Below are 26,734 nucleotides of genomic sequence, written 5' to 3'. Positions count from 1 at the left end.
CATTGAAGAGTTAGGTATTTATTGTTGTATTCACAGTCTTGCTTTGTTTGTGCCTGTCCTTCTTGGGAAGGCTTTCCTGTTATTTGAAGGGACTTGGGCTCCAAGCTCAATAATGGTATGGTTTTGCACCAAAGTAACACCTTGTTGATCTTGGACAAGATCTGGAAGAATTCTCTGTATTGCCAAGCAGGGACTCTTGTTCTTTTCCATTACTGTCTCCCAAATGAACAGTTTCTCTCTCTGTGCTGAGCCACCTGAAACTGGGGGTGTGGTGATGTAAGCACCCCTGTGGCCACCACCAGTGGGATTGTGCTTGGTCAGACCTGAAACCAGCATAGCATTGGGCCTTGCCTAAGGCTCTTCCTTTCAGGGAAGTGAGTATCCCCAGGTCCCAGGTGTGTCCAGTGACTCTGTCTGATTTTTGGTTCTTGAGATGGTGCTTTTCTGTATGCAGATAGTTGTTTAAATTTGGTATTCCAGCATGGAGGGGTGACAAATGTTACAGGCTTCTATTCCTCCATCTTGCTTTGCTCCCTCTCCCTCATTAACTCTATCAATCTTGACTCTCCACCTCTTTCTTCTGGCCTCTTATTCTGCAACATGTTTTGGCCATATGTGGGTTGTTGGTAGCCTATTTTCCTATGTATATAACTTCTAATTTACATATTTTTTAAAAAATGTTTTCTACTTGATATGTTCTAATTTATCTTAATACTTTCTTCTCATTTACTTATCCTTTCCTACTAAGATTATTTTACTTCAGTAATTATGGTATAATTTTTGGTATTTCTGATGGGTTCTTTTAAAAATCTTAAACTGTTCTTGATTCATAATTGCTTGTTTTTGTTGCAGAATTTATTTTTCTTGGTATATGGATATTAGTCATTTCTTTATCTCATTGAGGATTTATACTATTTTAAAGTCATCTTTTACAGAAGCATGCATTATTTCTTACAATCTTACAAAAGGGAACTCTGTTATTTGTTCAGTTTGTTGACTATCTTTTCTGACATTAGTTTTGCTGATGTGATTTGAAATTTTAGTTTGTGAGTTTAAGGGGGTGGATATTTATATATATGACCTTTTTCTTGTTGTGCCCATCCCTGTCGCTTCCTCCACTCGTCTCAAAGCTCCAGAACCAGGGTTATACTGGTGGCTTAGAGCTTTCTTTTAGGGACATTGCAGATTTATGAGTTCACTGGTAGCTGCCTCTGCTTCTTCTAGCCTTCTCAGGCAGCATCATGTTACAGTCATGGATATGGTACTGGCCACAGCCTTGTTACCCTCCAGGTAACAGACAGAGATGCCAAACCCACCTCCAGTTTTACTCCAGGGGCCTGGCTTTGATATACCAACATCTTTGGGGACCGTTATCTCTCCCAAGCCCAATATATCCATGGCTTCAGCCCTTCAGCTGTTCTTGTGTTGTGCCACAATTGTTCTGTGTGTTTCAATCTCACATCCTCAGTAGTGCAAGCCCTGTTCTATTTATGGTGTTTGTGAGTGAGGTTAACACTTGTATGCTGTTTTTGGTGTGAATGAAGGTTCTGTATAAAATCACAGTTTTATCCTGTCCAAAAATCAGGTCTTTCAGATTCCTTGGTAAGAAAATATGTAAGACACACCTTACTTTTGCTAATATTTACACCTCTTCTGGTATAACTTATATGAATCATTGGTAAAATCTGGAAGAATTATCTGGATTACCAGGCAGGAACTCTTGTCTTTTTCCTTACTTTCTCCCAAACAGATGGAGTCCCTCTCTCTGCTGAGCCACCTGGAACTGGGGGTTGTGATGATGTAAGCACCCCTGTAGCCAATAATTGGTTAATAAAGCTTGTGTCTCTTTGCCATAGAACCCTTTTCAAACCTTTTTAGGAATAAAGTTTAAAGGATGTAGGCTTTTCAGAGGGAAGGAAACTCTGTTCAGCTGTAAAATATATTTTTCAGGTCAGCAAGATTAGTTAACACTGATCTCATTTCTAAACTGAAGTTTACAGAGTTAGAAACCTTTAAAGAGTTAGAAACCTGTAAGGGTCTGAGAACTAGTGGTTAGTTCTTGGACTTCAGATGTTTTCTTCAAGGCTTAGCTCAACTGTTTCCTCTTCCATAAAGACTTTTCTCACTGCTTGAACCATTTTCTCCTATGCTTTCCCCTACTGTTACATGCAAACACATTCAGAGTTTGTGTATGGTAGTGTCACTTACTTATATTCTTTGTTTGGGAGAGGGGCAATTTGAGCTGGAATTGTTCTGGGTGTTTCAATCTCACCTCTTTAATAGTACAAACCCTACAAGGGCAGGCTGTATCTTTTCCCATTAGCACATTATGATGGTTTATGCAATAATAAATGCTTATTGAGTACAGATTTATTTTCTTGGAGATGTATGAGACAGTTCCAGCCAGGATTGCTACCCTAGGTGTGCAAGTTTTGACACATCTTGGAAGCTTATACTTCCAAGACCAGAATTTATCTTCTTGTGTGGTGTATTTCATGTCTCCAGTGCCAGAGAATGTTAGCTTGTCAGAGAACTATTGGATTGGAAGGAATATTGGGGACCTATGATCCAGTGGTTTTCAAATGTTGTCTTATCCAGGGAGTGTTGCCTTCAAAAATCTTAGTGTGAAATAGATAGAGAGTGATAAATCTGTTCTTCTTACATGGGATCTGGAGGATGGACTCACACTCCTTTACCTCCATGCCCTTACTGTTCTCTTCTCCACCTTTCCAGATGTGACCCAAAGTATCACTGGGGAATCCAGAATCTGCAAGGCATATTTAAAAACTGCGATCTAGTCCAAACTTACCGTTTGTACTAACTGAGGCCCACAGAGGAAAAGTAGTTTGTCCAAAGTCTCATGGCTGGTAACAAAGACAGCGTTAGGACAGACTCTTTACTCAACTCTGCTTCTACTAGGGTGCTTTTTCCACTTTACCATGGTGTTTTAACAGAGGCAGAAAAAAGTGAAAATTTAAATTAGACTGTTAACCAAAACATTGCTGAATGCTCCCCACTTTCTAACCTGTACCTTCAGAATCCCCATCCTGTGATGAGCTCCAAACAGCAGAATCTGCTCAGTCAGCTGCCTGACTGACACAGCAGACCACCATCTGGAGAAGTGTGAGAAGGCCTAGGCTTCATGTGACCTTCCAGAAAGTGTTTCATTGAATGTGTAATGAAGAAGAACCATTTAACTTAGCCCAACAATTCCTTCTAGCCCCCATTAAGCCTCTGACCCATGCACAATACCCCAGTTCATGAGGTCTTTGCTAAGAGCACGAGTAAGCAGAGAGCCCAGGTCTGGGGAGGATTCAGATATAAGGGTGAAGAAGTGAGATGACACAGGAAGGCATTAGATTCTGTGACCTAACTTTGTTCACCACAAGATTTCAGTTAACTTCCCTGCTAATTTTTTTTGAAGTTGAATATGCTAAGATTTCCTCTGAAAGTCAGAGACCCCAAATTATTCACAGCTTTGGGATTTTTTAAAGATACATTCCTACAAAAGTCAACAATTGAATTTCTTAAAAGAGATGAATGATCTTCAGGATACATATGAAAAGCAAGCTTTCGCACATCATTCCGCTACATTAATTCACATACTTAGACTGCAGAACAGTCTATAAAGTATTTTTAAAGATAGCATCTGGTTGAATTTTCACAATATCACCAAGAAGAAGGTATTATTAGTGCGGTCTTACAGATGAGTACATTGAGGCTGGGAGTAGATAAATAACTTGGTCTTGCAGTTCAAAGTGGTAGAAACAAGCCCCAAATCCAGATACTTCTGTCTCCAAATTGCATATTCTTTTAAGTCCTTTAAAAGGCAAAATACTGGACAAGACAGACCATTGATCTGAGCCAGTTCGGTAGTTTTTATGCACAGTGATGCCTCATTAATCTCATATTACTGGGGAATGAGCTGTTCTACATAAGTGAATATTTCATGTAATGGAAGTTTTAAGTACCAAAGCTTAGCATAAAACTTAACCATTTTGAAGGGACTCTTTTTGGCCTGCGTTAGATATTTTTCTTCTGTAGGTCACTTCCTGTGCCAGCTCCATTTTCTCTGTCTCCGGTGTTGTCTGCCATCTGCAGACCCAACCCTGCATAGGCTCAGGACCAATGACTGTGGACCTGGGTGTGCATATGTAGTCCCTGCCACTGTGGAAATTGTAATCCGAGTTTGCAGCTACAGTTGTTTGGATTTAAGCCTTTGGATGCCTTCATAATCACTGAGCTGTTGCTTCCCAGGCTGATACTATCTTGTGCCTGGACAGTAGCTGTTCTTGGCCTTTTTTCTTTGTGCCTCCTGCTCAGTTACCCCATTAGAGACTTCGGAGACTGACCTGAATGACTAACTATTGTCTCCAGAACTGGAGGCCAATCCATGACTCTCCGTGGCCATTTTTCTTAAGACAGAGGCCTGCTTCAATTCTTGACGTATTTAGGGCCCCTGAATTAAAAACTTGTGCTCTTACCTGATGTCAAGAAGCACAAAACTCAGATTATTTTCATTGCATCTTGCCTCATCCCTTTGGACAAGACCTCTTGGACTTTGATGGTGTCTCAGGTCACCCTCAACTTTGCTGATCTGGTCAGTTTTCCATAATCCCCACACTAGAGTCATTCTAACTTGATTGCATCATGCAATTATTAGGCTCTTTATGATATCTGACTTCATTTTTAAAGTAGCTTAAAATTTTTTACCAAAGTAAATTTTTATCAAAATCAAACAATTAAAGTTAAAAGAAAAATAAAACAAAAACCAAACACAAAATAGCAGTTTCCTGATCCACTTCTCCCTAAACTCTATTGAATCAAATGCTAGCTCTTGGTTTATAAAATTTTATCATTTTTTCACTTTTCATTGGCTTATTACGAAGATGAGGATTTAGCATACTTACATAATCCAACATCCTTGCTCCCCCTCCTGTTTTCCAAGTAAAATTATATAAAAATGTTTAGATAAGGGCTAGGCGCGGTGGCTCACGCCTGTAATCCCAGCATTTTGGGAGGCTGAGACGGGTGGATCATGAGGTCAGGAGATCGAGACCATCCTGGCTAACATGGTGAAACCCCGTCTCTACTAAAAATACAAACAATTAGCCGAGTGTGGTGGTGGGCACCTGTAGTCCCAGCTACTCAGGAGGCTGAGGCAGGAGAATGGCTTGAACCTGGGAGGTGGAGCTTGCAGTGAGCCAAGATCGCGCCACTGCACTCCATCCTGGGTGACAGAGAGAGACTCCGTCTCAAAAAAAAAAAAAAAAAAAAAAAAGTTTAGATAAAACAATGTAAAATGTTTTCCTAATTTTCCACCTAGCATTTTGTGCTTACATTTCCTTTCTTGTTCAGAATGTTTTGCTTTCTAGAGTTAATACTTAACTCATTTTTTTCCTTACTTGATTGTTTGTCTGTGTTCCTATCACTATTTTCAAACTCCCCAACACCAATGACTGTTATTTCTCAACCAGGCAGAAGCATCAGCTTTTCATTATTCTTGGAAACACTCCTTCAGGAGTCCTCTCTCCTATTCCAGGCTGTGCTCTGGGTGTTCTCTACAGCTGGTCCCCTGGCCCTTCTCTTTACCTGTCTCCCGGGATGTATCTCTTATTTCCTGCCTCCCCATCTCTTTCTCTTCATTGGTTATATCCTGATTTCAGTAGAGCATCTCCAGTAGCTTCTTGAGAAAGCATGTGTGAGCAATATTTTTTGACAACCTGAAAGTCTTAATATGTATTATTCTTTCTTCGCACTTTAATTGGTAATTTGGCTGAATGTAGAATACTGGGATGCAAGTTTTCATTACAAATTTGAAGCTCTTGCTCCACTGACTTCCAACTTTGAACATGTTGTTGAGAAATCTGATGACATTCATATTTCCAGTCTTTTTTTTTCTGTGAACTAGGTATTTATGACGTGAATATTTTAGTATCTTCTCTTTATCCTAGATGCTCTGAAAATTTGCAGTAGTGTGACATGGTGTGGGCAACCTCTTTATTCATTGTGCTATACGTTCATATGTCATAAAGAGCCAATAGACTATTTTAATCCAAAAACCCATGTTTCTCAGTTAAAAGAATACTTTGGGCATCAATATTTTGATAATTCTCTTTATTTTACTCTGTTCTCTCTTTTTTTGGGAACTCTGTTATACTGTGGTTAGGCTTCTTGGACTGATTGACGCTCAAATTTCCTCTTATCTACTACTGTTTTATCTCTCTGTCTTTTTGTTCTGAGAGATTCTCTTGACTTTGTATTCCAAACTTTCTATTGAATTTTTTTCTGTTGAATCTTTTATTTCAAATATCATATTTTCCAATTTTAAGAGTTCTAATTTGTTTTCTATTCCTTAAAAAATGATGTCTTGTTATTTTGCCAAGGATGAATATTTATATTTCTCTAAAGATATTATTTCTGTACAAAGTTTTCTTCTCTATCCATTGTCTTGATTTCCTCTGAGTTTTCTCTGTTAATTTGTTTTAGTCTTGTTTTTTCTTCCTGGAGCTTAATTTTAGTATTTTTTTGTCTGTTGATACTTGAGAATATTACATTAGAGCTGACTGGTCACTCTTTTTGGGTAGAGGAGAGCTTGTCAATTATAATGTGCTAGTTGGGATCCAGCTGTTTGTGGGAGAACCCTGAGTGTCAGAATCTGGAGATTCTGAGTATATTCCATTTCGCCATCTAACAATCCTCCAGTTTCCTGCCTGGGAAGGTGGTAGTGGGAGAGGTATATCCCTAAGCTGCCAGTATTTTTAAGCCCAGAGAGTCAGGGAACCTGGAGCCTCCTTGTTCTGTATGTAGACTCACTCACACCCTTGTTTTCAGATGTGTCCCTCTCCCTACCATCTGCTGCAATCCTGGGCTAAACTTCCTCTGTATCCTTTTCTTTGTTGAATAAATTTCTAGTTTACTGCCAAGGTAGGAGAAGAAACTTGAGAATTTAACTGCTTTCTTAACAGACTTTAAACAAATTCTCCTGATGTAGTCCAGCTCCTCGTGCCTCTTGTGTGGCTACCTCTGATTTCTGAGTTTTCCACAGATCTGAGGTGCACCTGGCTGGTTTCTCACTGGATCCCTTCTGCAGGCCCTTGCTGTTCAGCTTTATCAGCTCTGACAGTTTTATTTGATGTTTTCTAGTCCTGCATATGTTGGCTGGCATTTCTTGTCCACTGTCGATCCTTTCTTCTTTTTCCTTGTGGAGATCACACAGACACACTTTGATTTTTAGTAGAGTATTTGGAGGGAACAGAGATAAACAAGTGCTCAATATACCATGTTTAACCAGAAATAGTAATTTTTCATCTAAATGAGAGCTTGCTGAGCATAGCTTAAATTTTCCTTGCTGAGTCTTAGCCACCCGCATGAATATTAATTGCAGCATGTGAAACAATCATTAGGAGCCTCTCCCAGATCACTGTACTTACACAAATTTTATCTGCTTTCTGTAAGTATTGTTTTCATTCATTCACCCAACATGTTTTGTGCACATACTATGTGCCTGACACTGGGTATGTAGCAGTGAACCAGAAAAAGTCCCTGCCTTTTCGAAGTTTTCTATCTGTTTTTTTTTTTTTTCCTATGGCCTTTTACTTATTATTGTCAGTATTCTTGCCTTTTTTTTTTTTTTTGCCTCTTCTACTGTGTTGTGAGCCTTGTGAAAAAGGAAATCAAATTCATTAGGCCAGCATATGAAGGAAGAATAACTTCATGCTGAGTACAGACTTATGAGGTTCTGGGAAGCTTAACGTGTGGACTTTGCAATATTGACCTATGCTTTTCATGGATCTTTCTCTTTCCTTTCTTTGCACCCTATTTTTGATTCATGGTTATATTTTTGATAGTTAAAATAGTCAGAAAAAGTGCTTCTAACTATAGAATTTGTTTAGGATCAAAGGATTATAGAGCTGAAAGAGATCTTTGAGGACACACAATAAATTCTTTTCATTTTGTAGCTGCAGCAGTTCATGCCTAGAGAGGTGAAAAGAATCGCTGTAGGTCACACAGCTAGCAATTCGCTGATCCAAGGCTAGAACCCAGGACTTTGGGGCTTTGTGCTAAAACATGCTTTGATTTATATCTTAAGAAGCATGCATGGAAACATCAGCAGCCAGTTTAGGTGATGGGAAGTTATAGCAGAGATGGAGTTGCCTTTTCTGAAGGGAGTGGGTCTCATTAGATTGCCAGGGCATCTGTGGCTTGAGCTACCCCAAGACCTGAACAGGAAAGGCTTTAATATCTGCACCCTTCTTATGTGTAATGTGGCTACATTCCCCCTTCAGTTTAACTGGAAAAGGGGCTTGAATTTACAGTGTGCATGATGATTATGTGTTTTCTGCTGATCACTGCTTAACAAGGTATTCCACAGAAGAGGTTTGTTAGCTTTAATAGCCCTTCAATTACTTATGGCAATTACCTGCATCACTTTCAACTCCACGGAGGTTATTAAAATGCTCTCATGGCAACAGTAAAGAAATATAAAAACAGGTAAAGATGAAATTATGCCTGCTCCCTGAGGCATCTGCTTGAAATGTGTTTGCATTGCTTTTATACAGGTGGATACACTTAGTTCAAGACAAATATTCTAACTCTAAGGTTGGATCAACTTAAAAGCAGATATGTATCATCTTAAAAATTGTTTTCATACTCCACCAATTTTATGCCAGTGCTGTCTTCACAGAGGTAACTGGAAAATATTTTGCTTAAGATTTACTAAGCATTTGTTGAGACTCAGACATATGTCAGGTACTATACCAGGTAATGTCACATATGCTATTTTGTTTGAGACTCAAAGAACCTCTGTGATATTATACCTATTTTATAGATAAGGAAACTTAGATTTATAGAAGCGAAGTGATAAATCATAACATCACATGGCTGGTAATGGCTAATAAGTATAACAGATGGGGATTCAAATTCAACCTCGATTCCAGCATGATTTGTAATATTCCACAAGTGCTGCTTACTAATGAGACGGCCTTACCTATAAACAGAAATGCTTCTGTAGTATTTTTTTTGCAGAATTCGGGGGACATTTTATGTCTCATGAGTCCCATCTGATCACTTAAATGCTATCATTTCTTGTATTCCTGTGGGCTAAAGTGCTCTCTCTGGGATTCTCTTCTTAAAACCTAAGGCTGGATAAAGCTTTACATAGGTCTTTAACCCCCAGTGCCCTGCTACTCAAAGTGTGGCCCATGGCCCAGCAGCATCAGCATCTCCTGGAACATCTTAAAAAGTAGAATCTTAGTCTTCACCCCAGACCTACTCAGTCAGAATCTACATTTTAACAAGGTCCCCGGGTACATATGCACATTAATGTTTGAGAAGCTCTGCCGTAATGTGAGAGAGTCTGCCAGAGACTTGTTTTTCTGTTGAGGGTATTGACCATTGTGGGAGTGGGGTGAGAGGAAGAGGGAGGACTTCTACTCAGAGGGGGAGAACCCTGCTGTATAGAAGGACATTGCACATGAATCTCACCCATATCCCAGGCTTGTCCAGGACCTGCCCCAAGTAATTAACTACAGGAGGGAAGCAGTGCATCTGCATGCTGAGGTTAATTTCTCATGATACATATTATGATTTTCCACAGAGGTGGCCCACAGCATTTTTATGTGAAATGCGTGGATGAGTGTTTGTGCTTTCTATGGTGAAAGTAACCTTCCCAAACCATGCCTCCCTAACCTTTATTTTTCATCCTGTTCCTTTTCTGATCTCCCATCTCTATCTCTGACTTATTTCTGAGCATCATACTGCAAGGGTCTCATAGTGCTTCTAACTTAAAATCCTTAATGCCAAATACATTCCCTTTCTCTCCTCTTCTATCTGTGGTTAGTAGTGACATTGATTTATGAATTACTCTGGTCTATCATTCTACATAGAGTTATGATGTAACTGCAATGAATTGATCACTGTTAATGGTTCTGTTCTTAAGGAGCTCCACTGTAATAGGGCAGATGAACTTGTAAACAAAGCATTTCAGAAAAATGTGCTAAGTGTTCTATTAGGGCAGTGCTGTCATTCAGCAGCCTCTAGCCACATGTGGCTACTGAGTGCTGGAAATGTGCCTAGTCTGAACTGAGATGTGCTCCAAGTGTAAAACACGCACTGTACTCTGAAGTCTTAGAATGAAAAAAAAGAATGTAAAATATATATTAAGAGACAGGGTCTCACTCTGTCCTCCAGGCTGTAATGCAGTGGCACGATCATAGCTCACTATAATCTTGAACTCCTGGGCTCAAGATCCTCCTGCCTCAGCCTCTTGACTAGCTGGGATCACAGACGAATGCCACCATGCACAGCTAATTTATTTTTCAATTTTTTGGTAATGATGGGGTCTTGCTATGTTGCCCAGGCTGGTCTCTAACTCCAGGGCTCAAGTAATCCTCCTGCCTTGGCCTCCCAAAGCACTGGGATTACAGGCACGAGCCACCACACCTGGCCTAAAATATTAATATTTAAAAATGTTGATTACATATTAAATTGATAGTACTTTGGATATATTGAGTTAAATAAAATGTAGTATTAAAATTAGGTTCATCTGATTCTTTGTTCTTTTTAAAATGTAGTTACAAGAAAATTCAAAATTACTTGTGGCTAACATTATATTTTCATTGAGCAGTGCCCCATTACTGGTTTGGGAGCACAGTGGAACCAGAGTTAGGGAAGACTTCAAAGGAAGGTGGAGGGGAAATAGGAGCTTTCCAGGCAAAGGAGATAATTATCTGTGGCTTTAGTTACTAGGAAAACAGGTGAGTTGAATTAAAGGAAATTAGCAGGACTATTGCTTTTTCATTACTAACAACCATATCACCATGAGGTCCAGCCAGAGAACAAGAGTATATCTCTTCCTGCAGTTATATTATTGAATGGAGCCCTGCCTGGTTGTGTGGGGCTTTCTGAAGAATCACCCCATCTTTCCTTCAGTCCCTTTGAAGTAGAGACCTTGCTTCTACCTGCAGGCTGCTGTGAGAGAGTGAAATAAAATTCATTTTTAGCTCCAGATGAAGGGTTACAGGTGGTTCAAGGTTTTCCTGTTGATGTTCTGTTTTCCCTTCTAAATGGTGACTTAAAGTCAATCAAATGGCAAAAGGCAAAAATTGCTGATTCTTGAGGCTTTGGCAGGGGGGAGGCTGGAGCTTTCTCTCCCTCTTCCTCTCTTCCTCTCATTTTTGTCCCTTAGATAAAATCTGGCACTTGAGAGCCCACATTTATCCTGTGACTGATGTGAGATGGCACATTTATACCACACAGGAATCTTCTACCCCACATCCAGAACAATGAGAACTGTGGGCTCCGTAGACGCGAGAGGAGGCCGTTCTCTCAGAAGGGCAGCATCTGCCCTCTTTGTAGCCTGCGGGTCTTTTCATCTGTCTTCTGTTTTGGAAAACACAGGCTTCTGCTGGGAGGCCTGAGATCTACAAAAGAGAAAAGGATGACACAGGAGCTACAGACCTAGGTAAAATCCCAACTGATGTACCCTGGATTCATCTTTCAGCTTTAGAGAGAGAGCCTCCAGGGGAAGATAACGAGATTTTATCTGTGGGCTTCAACCTGGCTCTGGACAAAATGTGAAGTTTACTCACTAAATGTGGATCAAATTATTTCCCTCTGCCAGGCACTGCTTGGAGTGTGAGGAAGGGAGGAGAAACCCAACTGTCCTGTGTGACAGCTATTTTTTTTTCACTATTGTTTATTGTTTATTTTCTTTTTTTTCTTTTTCCTTTTTTTAATTATTATTATACTTTAAGTTTTAGGGTACATGTGCACAATGTGCAGGTTAGTTACATATGTATACATGTGCCATGCTGTCAGTGTGGCGACTCCTCAGGGATCTAGAACTAGAAATACCATTTGACCCGGCCATCCCATTACTGGGTATATACCCAAAGGACTAAAAAGCATGCTGCTATAAAGACACATGCACACATATGTTTATTGCGGCACTATTCACGATAGCTATTTTTATTCCTATTTTATGGATGACAAAACTGAGGTTAAACGCCTTGCCTGCACCATAAATAAATGCTAAGTATGTGAGATGATGTGTGTGCTGAGTAGCTGGATTTAATCATTCTACAGTGTATACATATATTGTGACATCACATTGTACCCCATAAAGATACACAATTACTATTTGTCCATTAAAAATGTAAAAATATAAATGCCTTGCTTCATTTGGTCTTAAAACCCAGGTCACTTGCCAGGGATTTGTGGTTTTGTCCTCTGCAAGGCCATAGGACCTCCCTGCTCCCCTTTGCCTGCTCTCTCCACTCCCACGCTGTTGACACCCCCGGGTAAATATATCTTAGTCCAAGAGAAGCAGTTTGGACCAGCTGCAGGCATCCCCTTCCCTCTCAGTATGTATTTTGAGGAGTAAAGGGTGGGGAGAGGCAGCCTGGGGGCAGGCTCTAAGCTCCCAGTGTGTGTTTTGAGGGGTCAGGAGTCGGGGGTCAGGTGTTGAGTAAGCACATTCTGCCATGTCTGCCTCAGGGCACAGATGGCTGCTTTTTTAGGTAAAGCAAGAGGGGAAACAGCTGACAGCAGAATTCTCTTTATTTTGATTCTTCTTTCTTCTGTGACTTAGTGTGTCTGAGACTGGCTGCAAATATGTTTCTCAGATAAAGTAAAATTTTCCTCTAATTTATCAGATAATGCACCATAATCCCTAGCCCACAAAGCTAAACGAGCGCCCCAAGAGTACACACTTAGGGCCAGGCGCGGTGGCTCACGCCTGTAATCCTAGCACTTTGGGAGGCCGAGGTGGGTGGATCGTCTGAAGTCAGGAGTTTGAGACCAGGCTGGCCAACATGGTGAAACCCCGTCTCTACTAAAAATACAAAAAAAAATTAGCTGGGCTTGGTGGCAGGTGCCTGTAATCCCAGCTACTAGGGAGGCTGAGGCAGGAGAATTGCTTGAACCCAGGAGGCGGAGGTTGCAGTGGGCTGAGATTGCACCATTGAACTCAAGCCTGGGTAACGAGAGCGAAGACTTCGTCTCAGAAAAAAAAAAAAAAAAGTACACATTTCTTCTGAGCTCTGGTTGCCAGGTGTCTGTATCAAACATTGAAAACCACTTTTGAGGCCAGGCATGGTGGCTCACGCTTGTAATCCCAGCACTTTGGGAGGCTGAGGCAGGTGGATCATGAGGTCAGGAGTTTGAGACCAGCCTGGCCAAGATGGTGAAACCCCATCTCTACTAGAAATGCAAAAAATTGGCCGGGCATGGTGGCACATGCCTATAGTCCCGGCTACTCCAGAGGCTGAGGCAGAGAATTGCTTAAAACCTGGAGGGGCAGAGGTTGCAGTGAGCTGAGATCCCACCACTGCACTCCAGCCTGGGTGACACAGCAAGACTCCGTCTCAAAAGAAAACCACTTTTGAGTATTATATTGTGAAAACATCAGACTTTGTATGTAGAATAAGTTTATATCATTTTGGCTGGTAAATATTTGTCAAGCATGTGAGGTATTTTTGTTGAAACCCTCTGGCTGGCTGATCTCTCCTTGCTACTCCTTCAGACACACCAGGGTTTAATGGCTGAAAACCTAAACACTGTGTCAAAGGCAGGTATGAAAGAAATGAGGAATTTAACCAGTCATAGCACCAAAGAGAAAAGACAGCTGAGGAGGGCTTTAGAAATCTTCCATCCAGCCTTTGTTGGACAGATGTGGAAACTGAGGCCAGAAGGGAAGTGGCAGAGTAACCTAGCTTGTGGAGGGCAGGGTCAGGCTGGGAACTAGGATGGTTGATGGCTGGTCCAGCCTAGCCTCTTTCAGGGAGCGCACGGTGAAGGGCTGCCTCTCAAGAGTTTATGTCTGTTAGGAGCAGAGAACACAAAAGTCCTGTGTTCCCTTCACCAGTCCTTTCTCCAGGCTAGAAAAATGATGATGTCAGAAGGATCTCATAAGCCCTGTGTGGAGATTTGGCATTCAGCTCCTCACTCTGCCCTAGAGAGGTTTTGTTATGCCAGACAGGGGCTCTGAACATCTCAGTCTGTCAGTGAGTGAGAAGCCTATTGGACTTGCTGGCTTCATCAGGCAAGGTGTGGAGAGATGTCAAGAGACCCCCCCCGGAGGATCCAAATCAATACTAGGCATGAAAACAAAGCTGGCTTTGACGCCCCCGAGTTAACAAAGGAAAGTTTCTTTGCTGCTTAGACAAGTTAGAACCACACAAAAATGGTTAAAAGTATTTTAGGATCTTTTCCCCCACCTCAGATAGTTTTGGCTTTGAGAAGAGATTTTTCCCATGGTGCAACTGGGCATACTTGGATCTATATGAGGAGGAAAAGTAAAATAAGGTAAATGAAGAGTTTGCCTTCTGTTGGTTGATAATCTACAAAGCTTCCACTCACCTTCTGTCCCAGCACCCAGGAGTCATATTCCTTTCTGACTGCCCACTGCTAGCAAATCAAGCCACTCTCCTGCACATCAGTCTTGATTCTGCAACTTTGCTTCCTTCACCCAAACTTATATGCACAATGTTCACACACTCCCTATTCCTTATTCCTTCAAGGCCTTGCTTGAAGTGCTTGAAGCTGGTTAACTAGCTAGATGCTGTATAAGTTTATAGTTTTGGATATAAATACTTTGCCCTCGGAGAGAGACTAATGCTCTGTGATTTTGGACAAGCCATTTAGTATCTTGGAGCTTCCATTTTTCTTATCAGTGAATAAGTGATGTTTGCTCTACCAATGCAAGAGAATTGTTGCAAGATTTAAAACCCATGTGAATTAATGAATGTAAAAAAGACCTTGGTCAAACTGTTGCATGCTTTATAATAAGTGAGATAGCATGATTAAATGCCTTAAAGAAGTCAATTTTCAAGGCTTATGTCTGGTTAAGGGGTAGAAAATTGTTGGTAGATAACCCCCCCTACTCCCAGATTCACCAGCAGAACTTACATTCCTCTGCCTGTGTCTGTTTTGCCCTACTCCTTTGTTTAACCCCTTCCTTGTCTTAGCTTTCTTCTAGAGAGGGGAAGGGGTGCCCCTGGTGACTTAACTTCTTATGCATATTACATTGAGGCAAATCTAAAATGAGCCTCTGCAGAAGGAGAACAAATGCCATCCCCTGGAGAAGGATCGGAATGCTTTGCTTTTTATTTCTTTCAGGGGTCTGAGTGTGTGCCGGATTGCATGGTCTAGGGAGGAGATGCTGAGTGCAACTTTTCCTGTTTCTCAGAATTGGTGCCTGGGGGCCCAAAAATGAGGATGAAAAGGCCCCAAATAACCCATGTTCTAAAGAGAGAAGCCAAAAAATGCACCAATTTCCCAGCTCAGCCTTCCTGGTCTGTGGCTGCCATCCCAGGTGTCATCCTCACTCTCCACCCTACCTTCTGGTTCATTGTTCATTGCTCTAAGGGATGAGAACACAAGGAGGGGAGAGAGTTATCACTACCGTGAACCTCAGGTGTGATGTGCTCCTGGAAAGAGGTGTTTCCTACTATCCCTGAAAAAAAAAAATACCGTTTGTATTTGTACCCACCCCCCACCATCGAGCTGTCAACCCCCCTCATTAAGACACTTGTACCAGGGAAAAGGAGTAATGGGAATAAAAGACAAGAGCAACTTGAGTCTTCATTTCATTGCTCACATCGCTCTGTCCTGCTGCTTTCTTCACCGAAGTACTGGGTTTCTATTCCAAACCAGCTACAATGAACAGTCTTCATTCGGAGTTGGGACTATGGTCTCAACATGGGACTACTGGGGACCCTCTAATAGCCTTGTCCTAGACACACATGACTTTGGCCACCTCAGTAGCAAGAGGGATCTGAAGGGATATGCTCGAGATCCCTGGAATCCTCAGAAATGTCTACAGGCAGGTGTCCTGGGGTCCTGCATAGAAGGGCACTGGCCAGGCCTTGAGTGAGCTCAGCGGGGCCTCTAGACTCACCTGAGATCACAGCCAGGTCGCTCTCCTGCTCTCCTGGTGCTGATTCCAGCTCCTTTCTGTTATTCTGTAGCCCTCAGGATTTGGGTGTCCTTCGGACTGTCCTGTTGGGAACCCTTCCTCACAGTCCTCACATCGACTGAGCAGACTGAGCGGGCACCACGTCTGGCTCCTTTGCTTATGCTCAGCTACTGGATTGCAGTCCCAGAAACGCCACCTTGACAAGGTTAGCCTGCAATGCGTGAGGCGAAGGAAGGCCACAAGGTGGCAGCAGAGGATTACCCACTTGCTAGTGGAGTCGGGAGGCTCTATGGGGGTGGGGAAATGGAGTTTCCTTACCACAGAGCGGGTTGGAAAGCAAGTGAACCAACATTTTAGAGGACTAAGAGATCAATAGGAACAGGTGCAGAAAGATTCCAGGAGGGTGTTGAGGTAGGGCTTGAATAGAAAGACTAATAATCATGTATTAAATGTTTATTATGAAGCTGGCAATGCTTCATAAGTGTAAGCACTTACACATTACATGATCCATTTCTTAGAACAACCCTGCAATTATTCCTATTCTACTTGTGAGAAAATAGAGGCTCAGATTAATTGAGTTACTGGCCCAAGTTCACATAGCTATTAATTGATGGAATTAGGAATAAAAACCAGGTCTGACAGACTGTAAAGCCCGGGTTTTGAACTTCTATGTTAAACAGTGCAAACATCAGGATAGACTAGTGGTTCTCAAAGCGTGGTCCTGGAACCCCCTGGGATTCGCATCACCTGGTGACTTGTTATAGTGCACATTCTTGGCCAGGCGCAGTGACTCACACTTGTGATTCCAGCATTTTGGGAGGCCGAGGTGGGCAAATGACTTGAGGTCAGGAGTTTGAGACAGGCCTGGCCAATATGGTGAAACCCCGTCTCTACTAAAAACACAAAAATTAGCTGGGCATGGTGGCACATGCCTGTAGTATCAGCTACATGGGAGGCTGAAGCAGGAGAATTGCTTGAACCCAGAAGGCAGAGGTTGTCGTGAGCTGAGATTCTGCCACTGCACTCCAGCCTGGGCAATAGAGTGAGACTCCATCTTTTAAAAAAATATATAATAATAATAAAAAAATGCAAATTCTCAAACCTACTGAATCAGAAACCCTGGGGTGGGGCTCAGCAATCTGTGTGAGTGTGTGTGTGTGCGTGTGTGTGTGTTTTAATTTTAAATATATATTTTAGTACAGGCAGGGTCTTGCTATGTTGCCCAGGCTGGTTCCCAACTCCTGGCTTGAAGTGATCCACCTCGGCCTTCGAAAGTGCTGGAATTACAGATGTGAACCACCCTTCCTGGCCCCAATCTGTGCTTTAAAAGCCCTCTGCCAGGATTCTGATGCTGCTCCAGTTTGAGAAGCACTGGGATAGATAATATTCCAGCCTGTCAAGTGCTGAGCTGTGGATTTGCCTATGAGCATTGCCTGTCATGGTGCAGTCACCTCTGATGGAGCTGGAACTGCCCCACCCTTGACATTGACATTAGGCCAGCTGCTCCCAAAGGTAAGGAAGTGGTTCACTCCAATTCTACCCCTTACCTGCTGACATTTTTCTCCCTCTTTAGCTGTAGGTGGGGGAGAACAGTCTTTGTGGAACTCAGAACTGGAAATTTTCTCTTCATTAACATGACAAACAGGCTACCTCTATCAAGGACAGCCCGGTGAGACTGGCCTGGAATTTAGAATCTCCTTATAAATAAAGTCTCAGCTTTAAGCATTAATGAAAGACGTGAGATCTTTATGGTGCCATTCATTTCTGATCTTGCCAATTTGGTAGCTAAAGAGTGACTGCTATCTTTTTCCAAGCCACTAATTATGCAACTCTGTCCTGATGTGTGCTAGTTCAGGTTCTTAGCAAAAATTGTTATTCCTGTAAAAATATAACATTTAAGACTGGAAGGAAAGACTCCATATAATTAATCTTTGTATTTTAGCTAAGAATTTTGGAGTGATTTTAAGTTGCTTCTTTGTGCTTTAAGAAACTTTTGTTTTTAACTTTGAAGTGTGTACACATTTTTCAATAAGAGAAGAAAATAATGCTGTTTTATAAGCAAGTCTTTTATTCTGTGAGATGAACCCATCAGAATGAAAGTTATGTGCCTGAAATTCCTGATGATTTGACAAGGGAAGACTGAAGCTTTTGTATAGCCATTTAAAGAAAAAGAAAACTCATTAATTTTCAGCTTATTCATTTGATATTTGTGCTTATATCCATAGGAGATAGGTGGTATTTTTTTGTTTGTTTTTTTTACTGAGGTTACAAAAGGATATTAAGAACAAGGCAATGTTTAGGAGAGCAGATTGTTTAAACGGAGTTTGAACTACCTTTGACATTCTCATGTGTATGCTAACACTGATGTGCTTATTACAAATTTTTTCTTATATATTCATTCAATTCATTCATCGGATTATAGATGGTGTCTCTCTACATTAACACCTATCTGTAGCTTTAAAATCAGACTGTGGGATATATTAGTATACCCAGTAAGCTCTAATCATTTGTGACTGTTTATTCAGACACATACAGAAATGACACATTCAGGAATCCTCTTTCTAGGGTGAATCCCAGAACACCTCTAATGGCTTGGATATCTGAGGTTGCAGATATGAAGCAACAAGATGTGTTTAAGTGATCATCTCTCACAGGATGGGCTTTTGGATACTTCAAAAATGTATGGAAGCCAAGTAGCCTTGGGGAGGTAAAGACCTCTCAAGGTGAACTCCTCATTAGCAAAGGACCCTTCTGATGTAGAGAAACCAAGACCTCTGGGTGCCCCTCAAAGGCAAGCTGGTTCTCAGACTCCATCAGATCTCAGATAAGCTTCTGAGGACAGGGGGCCACAGCAGCAGCAGTAGTGGCACATGCCAGCTGACCCCCATGGACTGAGCTGCAGAGGACCCGCCGGCCTTGCTAGAAAGGAAAGTGACTCTTCTGAAGCAGGGGGGACTGAGCAGGAGCACCACCTGGCAGAGCCCCTCCTCTACAGGGCTCCATGCAGACAGGCCTGAGAATGAAAGATGTGTATTATGCATATTATCTCATTTATACATTTGTCCCTTGCTTGTCTTCCCCATTAGAATTGTTAAAAAGGAAAAATCTCAAGTTTAAATTTATCAGAGTTTCTATGAGCAAAAAAACCCAAAAAACAACAACAAAAATGATTAGTGAAGTGAATCTGGCAGCCCCCAGAACCAGAACAGGGTCAAAGAGCTTCTGTGTGCTACATGATCAGACAGCAGCATTTATGGACAGAAAAGGGAAGTGAGGTAAAAAGAACAACTTAGTTATAGCTCAGCATTTTGTCTTACTTGAATCAGCTGACCACCTACCATTGACTGAAGTTCAGCTGTTTGTTACATGAGTATACTTCTAAATTAATTTGTTTCATTTAGCATGAATTACCACATATTGGTTTGAGCTGTTGGGCTAGGAACCCAGTGCAAATCAATGGCATGCTACAAATTTTATTTTTATTATTATTTTTAGAGATGGGGTCTCACTGTATTGCCCGGCTGGTCTCAAACTCCTGAACTCAAGTGATCCTCCCACCTGGGCCTCCCAAAGTGTTGGGATTACAGGTGTGAGCCACTGTGCCTGATTAAATTGTATTTTAATAGAATAGAAACTTCCTAAAAGCCAGACCTTGTCTGTCAACTTCAAGGTGTATCCTCAGCATCTAAAACATAGTAGACAATAAATATGCAGTGTATGAATATGTGAAGGCTCCTGTAAACTCTGAGTTTATGGTATTCATTGACACTTTCGTTAAATTATGGTATTTTTCTAATTCCAGCAATTCTTTGCTTTTCAGCAATTGCACGTAAGAACTTCAGTAACCAAAGTGCCAGTAGGTAACCCTGAAGATGATGCTGAGAAATAGTTTTCTTGACACAAAAACCCTGTGGACTCTTGACATCTAAGAACTTTAAGACAGTGGTTTTCACACTTATTTCTGCAGCAACAGAGCCCTTTCTTTTCCAGAAACCTGAGGCAGAGACCCACGATATAAACAAGACAAAAACAGAGATGCTCAGGTTCAAGCCGTGATATGTGGCTCTGAGCCTGACCTGCTCAGACCTCGCCCTCCTTCCTTTCCTCCAAGAAATCCCAGAACACTTTCCTGCAACAGTAGGATAGTGCTTCTCACCCTTGGCTGCACATTTGTCTCCTGGAAAAGCATAATTTCAGCACAGGAGATCAAGCACACAAGCTCTGGCTGTGATATATGCTAAAATAAAATGTCCAGATAGAGTTTGAAATTAACCCCATACTATGCTCTACGGAAGTCACTTCTGAATTGTATATTATCAATCCTAGCACAGCAATTCTCAATCCTAGATGCTCACTGAAGTCACCTGGCGAGCATTAACAATTACTGATGCCGGGACTAACTCTGTCCCATTCCCCCAGATTCTGATTTAATTTGTCCTCTGTGTAATCTGGGTGTCTGGGATTTTAAAGCTTTATGGGCCTCTTACAAACACTCTACCCCATGCTGGTGGGGAATAAGCAAACTACGACAGAAGCAGGCGGAGGGCATTCTGCCGTATGTTGTAGGTAGCTGTCTGTCTTCTGTTATCATTGCTATAAGTGATCCTGAGGGCAGGGAGTGTGTGTTATTCATTTCTTTATACTTTGTTTAGGACTGTCTGTTACTGCAGTCCCTCAGGAAAAGCATATGCCTTTCATTAGCTGAGTGATTGCAAGCAACTTCACCTTTCTAATCCTCAATTTCCTCATCTGCAAAATAACAAAGTAATGGTATCTACCTTGTATAGTTTATGTAAGGATTAAATAAAATATGAAAATGGTTTAACAGTGTATCTGATACGTTATAAGTGCTCATTAAATGCTTTAAAGATACTGTTCTTCCTATTAGCTATTTATACCAGAACTAAGAGTTTCCGCCTTATATTGTAAGGGAGGTAAGACTTGGTCAGGTGAAGTTAAGATTAAGTTTATGAAACTTGTTTCTCATAAAGAGGGTTATATCTTAAAATGATAAACAGGTTTAAAGAATATTTAAGCAAATATTTATGTATAGCATTCATAGCAACTGGATTTTAGGGAAGTTAAGTATTCTTATTCCTAATGATTTGACTTAGATGGAGGGCAATTTTCACTTCTCAGAATCCACACCAGGCTATACCTTTAGAGAGAGGCTCCTGGATTAGATATGCCCAGTATGGAATTTCTTATGTCCCTAGGAATTAGAAGGCTTCATGTGAACAGATGTAGCTTTGGGATTTTGTAACTTTATGAATAAAATTTCAGATGAGGACTAATATCCTGTGGTCTACACGTATCCATCTGTTTTACGCAGTATTGTTTGTCACTGGATATTGATTTACTCCTTTCTTTGTCCAGCATGGAGAATTAGAATATGTGTTAACTTGCGGAAATCACTGATTGCTGAATTTGCAGCACAGTCAGGAAATAAGCAGGTTTTAAGTGGTGAGTAACACAGTGCTTTGGAGGAGTGTAAATTAACAGCTTTATGAGGTATTGTAGCCAACATTTCTGCCTATGTCTATCATTTAGGGAAAAGGTGTCTGAGTACACAGCTTCTCCTTATCCATGACCCAGATGGAATAAAAGAGGTCCAGACACTGCCTGGACCCTTTAGATCTTCCCATGCCTGGGTGCTCCTGACTTGATTCCTAGTAGCCACTCTCTCTGTCTGAGAGCTTGCCCCAAAGCGGCAGAAAGCCACTGGACCTGCACTTATGTCAGGCCAGAAAGGCTGGGCAGCAACTTGTGCCCCAGCAGTCCTCACCCATGACTCATGGGAGTTGAGGCATAAATGCCCATTGCTCCTTCACCCCTTGGGGTGATAACTACGAGGTGAGTTATCTGCACTGTTTCTAGAACCTGCCTGTGGAATTATGATTCGGTTCTCCACTGTGGCTGCTGGCTTCATAATGCCTACTTTATTCTCTTCCCTTACTTCATTGCTGTACTTACCCCAGTAAATTACCTATGCCCTAATCCTCATCAGGGAACCCAAGCTATGACCCTGAGTTTTCTCACTTATCCTGTGCTCTTGGTTGGTCAGGTAGCATCTATGAGCCTCAGTGTTCTCACCACGTTTGTGAGGTTCCTAGACTGCCATATCAAAGGACCACAAACCTCGTAGCTTAAAACAACAGAAGCATGTTCTCTCACATTTCTCCAGGCTAGAAGCCTGAAATTCACAGGGCAGGGCCATGCTCCCTGGGAAGGCTCTAGGGAGAATCCCTTCTTGGTGGTTTTCAGCTTCTTGTGGCTGCAGGAAATCCTTGGTGCTTCTTGGCTTAGGGCTGCCATCTGATCTCTGCCTCTATCTTTACACGGCCTTTTCCTCTGGGTTTCTCTGGGTATCCAAGTATTTCTCTCCTTTCTCTTATAAAGATACAAGTCATTGGATTTAGGACCCACCCTAAATCCAAGATAATTTTATCTTGAAATTTTTAATTACATCTGCAAGACCTTATTTCCAAATAAGGTCACATACGGAGGTTTCTAATGAACATGGATTTTTGGGGGATGCCATTCAACCCACTATCCTGTGAAAGGGGACCAGGAACCCCTATTCTCCATTGCTGTGAGGATGCAAGTTAGGCAATTTCTTGGTGGAGGGTAAAGTATTGTTCAAAGTTTCAAAGGTAAAGGTTTGCTGTGGTTGTTTTGGACTCAGGAGCTGCTAATGCTTGGCAGGGTGGTGGGGGGCCGGTAGGAGGAGCAGTTAAGCTCTGGTTCCACTGGTTGTTTCCCTCTCTCCTGGAGGCAGCTGCTGACAAGAGGACACTCATGATTTTCTCATTGGCTTTGCCCTCATTTTAGTATTGAGAGTGTAGGGCTTGGAGTCAGACCAAGGTTCAAATCCTAGCCATGTACTAGTTCTTTGTGTTTAGACAAATTACATTATCCTACTAGGGAAGAAGTTATTGAAAATCCCCCCTGAGAGATCCCTATAGCAGACACTCTGTGGCATTTAGCTATATCTTTTATGTGCTTCTAAATAGGGATTTTACTCAGCTTCTTTCAAACAAAAACATAAGGACTAGACTTTACATACATGGAGGACTCAACAAGCCCCATGTTACCATCCTCAAGTACAAGGCACAGGGAAGGCATGGAGAATAACAAAACATTATGTTTCTGGAACACCTGCTGTATAACAACCCATCCGTGGTCCCTCAGCTGGTGGTGTTGACCCATTACATGAAAGAGAACCTGTCCAGGGTTTTAGTAGGGCATAGTAGGGACTTAGGTGGGCACAAGCATTGATGAGTGGATAAATAAATCAGTGAGTCAGCAAGATAAATCCAGAAAAAAATGAGGGAAAAATGGGGTAAGAAGAAAAAGAGAACAGGAAAGAGAGGAGAAATTCAGACACGTTTGGAGGATGGCTGGTAACACCAGTTCTCATGGGAGGATTTCAAAGTATAAATGGCTTAATTCACCTCGTAGAACTTTGTCTTTCAAGATTCTGAGGACCAGTGACTTTTCTCCTTCTTAGCAAGCAAACCAATGCAAGATTGAGCAATGGACACAGGTAGTGTCTGCGTAGTGAGAACAAGATGATATTTTTAAAAATTTTTCTCAGAGCCATGGGAATGCTAAATAGACACAAATGCCACTTTCCATGCACTCACATGGGAGTTACAGTTTATCAGCTCTGTATACTGTTTTTATATGACCTTTATATAAGCAACCTCTGAGGCAGGCAGATTAAGTATTTAAAAGGCAAAACTATTGCTCTACTCACACTGTCAATGGCTGTTGTGAAACCTCAGTTCTTGTTTCTTAGTTTAAAAGAGTTTACACATGAGATGCACAGCAAAGGAGATGCAGCACACAGCAACTTATTGCAAAGGAGAAGAATATTCTGAAAGCTAGGTGCAGAATACAGAGAGGATTCAGGGCAAGCTGCTCATAAAGATGAGACAGCAAAGACTGGCACTAGGGAGACTCCCTTCATGGGAGTCTTACATGACTATTCATAAGTAGGTGGGAAGAGGTGTTACTAGTAAGCATGTTCTTGGTGCACAGGCACAGTAGCTATACGTGCTTTCTCATATATTGTGTTGTGGGAAGTCAGGGAACCCGAACGGAGGGACTGGCTGAAGCCACAGCAGAAGAACATAAATTGTGAAGATTTCATGGACATCTGTTAGTTCCCCAAATTAATACTTTTATAATTTCTTATACCTGTCTTTACTGCAATCTCTGAACATAAATTGTGACGATTTCATGGACATTTATCACTTCCCCAATCAACACTCTTATAATTTTCTTGTGCCTTTCTTTAATCTGTTAATCCCTTCGTCTTCCTAAGCTGAGGATGTATGTTGCCTCAGGACCCTGTGATGATTGCGTTATCTGCACAGATTGTTTGTAAAGCATGTGTGTTTGAACAATATGAAATCTGGGCATCTTGAAAAGAACAAGATAACAGTGATTTTCAGGGAACAAGGGAGATAACCATAAAGTCTGACTGCCTGTGGGGCTGGGCAGAAAAGAGTCATATTTCTCTTCTTTCAGAAAGCAAATAGAAGAAATATCACTGAATTCTTTTCTCAACAAGGAATAACCCTGGGAAAATGAATGCATTCCCAGGGGGTGGTCTCGAAAATGGCCGCTCTGGGAGTGTCTGTCTTATGCAGATGTAGATAAAGGATGAAATATGCCCTGGCCTCCTGCAGCGCCCCCAGCCTTGCTAGGATTAGGAAATTCCAGCCTGGCGAATTGTAGTCAGATGGGTTTTCTGCTCTCAAACTCTGTTTCCTGTTAAGATGTTTATCAATGACAATGTGTGCCCAGCAGGACATGGAACCTCATTAGTAATTCTAATTTCTCCCTGGCCTTGTGATCTTGCTCTGCCCCCATTTGCCTTGTGATATTTTACTGCCTTTGAAGCATGTGATCTCTGTGACCTGCACCCTATTCATACATTCCCTCCCCTTTGAAAATCGCTAATAAAAACTTGCTGGTTTTGCAGCTTGGGGGCATCACGGAACCTGCCAACATGTGATGTTACCCCCAGAGACCCAGCTGTAAAATTTCTTTATTTTGTACTCTTTCTCTTTATTTCTCAGACCTGCTGACACTTAGGGAAAATAGAAAAGAACCTACATTGAAATATTGGGGGCTGGTTCCCCCGATAATATTGCATGTCTAATTAGCATCTCCACCCTGGGGTATGTTTTTCTACTATTGTCATGAGCAAAGGGTGAGTTTGAGGACAGGTGAAATTAAAATGTGCATGCTCTCTGGGAGTGGGTGAGGAGCGGGATTCCCTACTGGAGATAGCTTTGTTGGGATAAGCTTAACTATAATGTGAGTGCTGGGGCTTATTGTGCTGACTGTATGGCCACCATGGTTGCCGCGCCCTGAGAACATGGTTACTTCTTGACTACCTATCCTGCCTCAACACAATACTTCTGGAACCAAATGTGTGGGTTTTATTTTTCCCCCAACATCAACCACCTCTTGGAACACACCCTAAGTGTCCTACAAGTTACCTCAATTCTGACACCAACTGCCTGGAATTAGCACAGACCCCACAGACTAAGGGCTGAGTCCCACAAGACTGCCCCCACTTGAGGAACCAAATCACAAGTCCCAGGTTGTCACCTCTACTTCTAATCAAAAGGCTATAAATGGAAGTTCCCACAACCTTCTCCTCATGTTCAATAATTTGTTAGAACAAGTCACAGGACCCAAGGAAACAGTCTACCTACTGTTACCAATTTATTACAAGGATATTTAAAATACACAAATGAGCAGCTAGATAAAGAGATACACAGAGGTCTGGAAGGGTCCTGAGCACGGGAGCTTCTGTCCACATGGAGTTTTGAAGCGCACGACCTTCCCAGAAACTGTGTATGGTCTTGTTCACCAACTCGGAAGTTCACAAACCCTTTGGTTGGGGATTTTATGGTGGCTTTGTTATGTAGGCATGATTGATTACATCATTGGCCATTGGTGATTAGCTCGACCTCCAGCCCTTTTCCCCTCCCTGGAGGTCAGGGGGTGTGGCTGAAACCCTTTACCCACAGGTTTGCTCTCCTGGCAAACAGCTCTCCATTCTTAGGTGCTTTCTGGAGATCACTCCATTAACATAAACTCAGGTGTGATTGAAGGAGTCTTGTTATGAATAACAAAAGATGTTTTTCTCTCTTTATCACCCAGCAGCTATTTCAGGAAGTGGGGACAAAAACAAAACATAGCAAAAGACGCTCCTATTGCTTTTATCTCTTAGGAAATTATAAGGGTTTTAGGAGCTCCGGTCAGGAGCTGGGAATGAAGATTAAATATGTATTTATTATTACATCACAACATCACAGTATTGTTATCCCCACTTTATAAATCAGTAAGTGCGTGAAAGTTAAAAACAATTATCCCAAGACTCTAGGGCTGGGAAGTGGAGATAGCTAGAAATCACAACTAAAACTTCTGCTGTCAAATTTGGGACTCTGTGCTGCAGCCTAATGTCTGAACAAGGTTCATAAGTTCATTACTAGTATTCTTTCATAAACTCTGAGGTTTGTCAGGCCTCTAAAGTTTATGGTCCCATGTCTCCCCCAGAAGCCAGGTTCACCCTCACCTCTTTCAGTGGCAGAGATCAGACAGGGCCCAAGGTTTGGGTTGGTCATGTCTGGAGAGGTTGGAACAAGGAAAATGTTCTGCATCCTCAAAAGCAATATTTGCCAAATGGGGGATAAACTATATATCCAGATTTGATTTGGAGAGTCTCACCCTTTGAGTGACTTTGCAAAGCACTATATGAATAATATTGTCTCATAATTAATGGTGGCTGGG

General features: G+C 41.8%; 1 long non-coding RNA gene across 1 annotated transcript in view; it reads left to right on the top strand.

Moving 5' to 3' along the window:
- Positions 1 to 303: 303 nt before the first annotated feature.
- Positions 304 to 26,734, top strand: part of LOC107985905 (uncharacterized) — a 134,425-nt gene continuing 107,994 nt past the window's right edge. The window contains exon 1 of the long non-coding RNA XR_001739572.1: positions 304 to 374. This is a non-coding gene — a long non-coding RNA (uncharacterized LOC107985905). The remainder of the gene's footprint in view (positions 375 to 26,734) is intronic.

This window comes from Homo sapiens, chromosome 2, assembly GCF_000001405.40.
Source record: "Homo sapiens chromosome 2, GRCh38.p14 Primary Assembly".
In the NCBI taxonomy this organism is placed as follows: Eukaryota; Metazoa; Chordata; class Mammalia; order Primates; family Hominidae; genus Homo; species Homo sapiens.
Note: the sequence above shows the minus strand (reverse complement) of the source record. Positions and strands in the feature narration are given on the sequence as shown.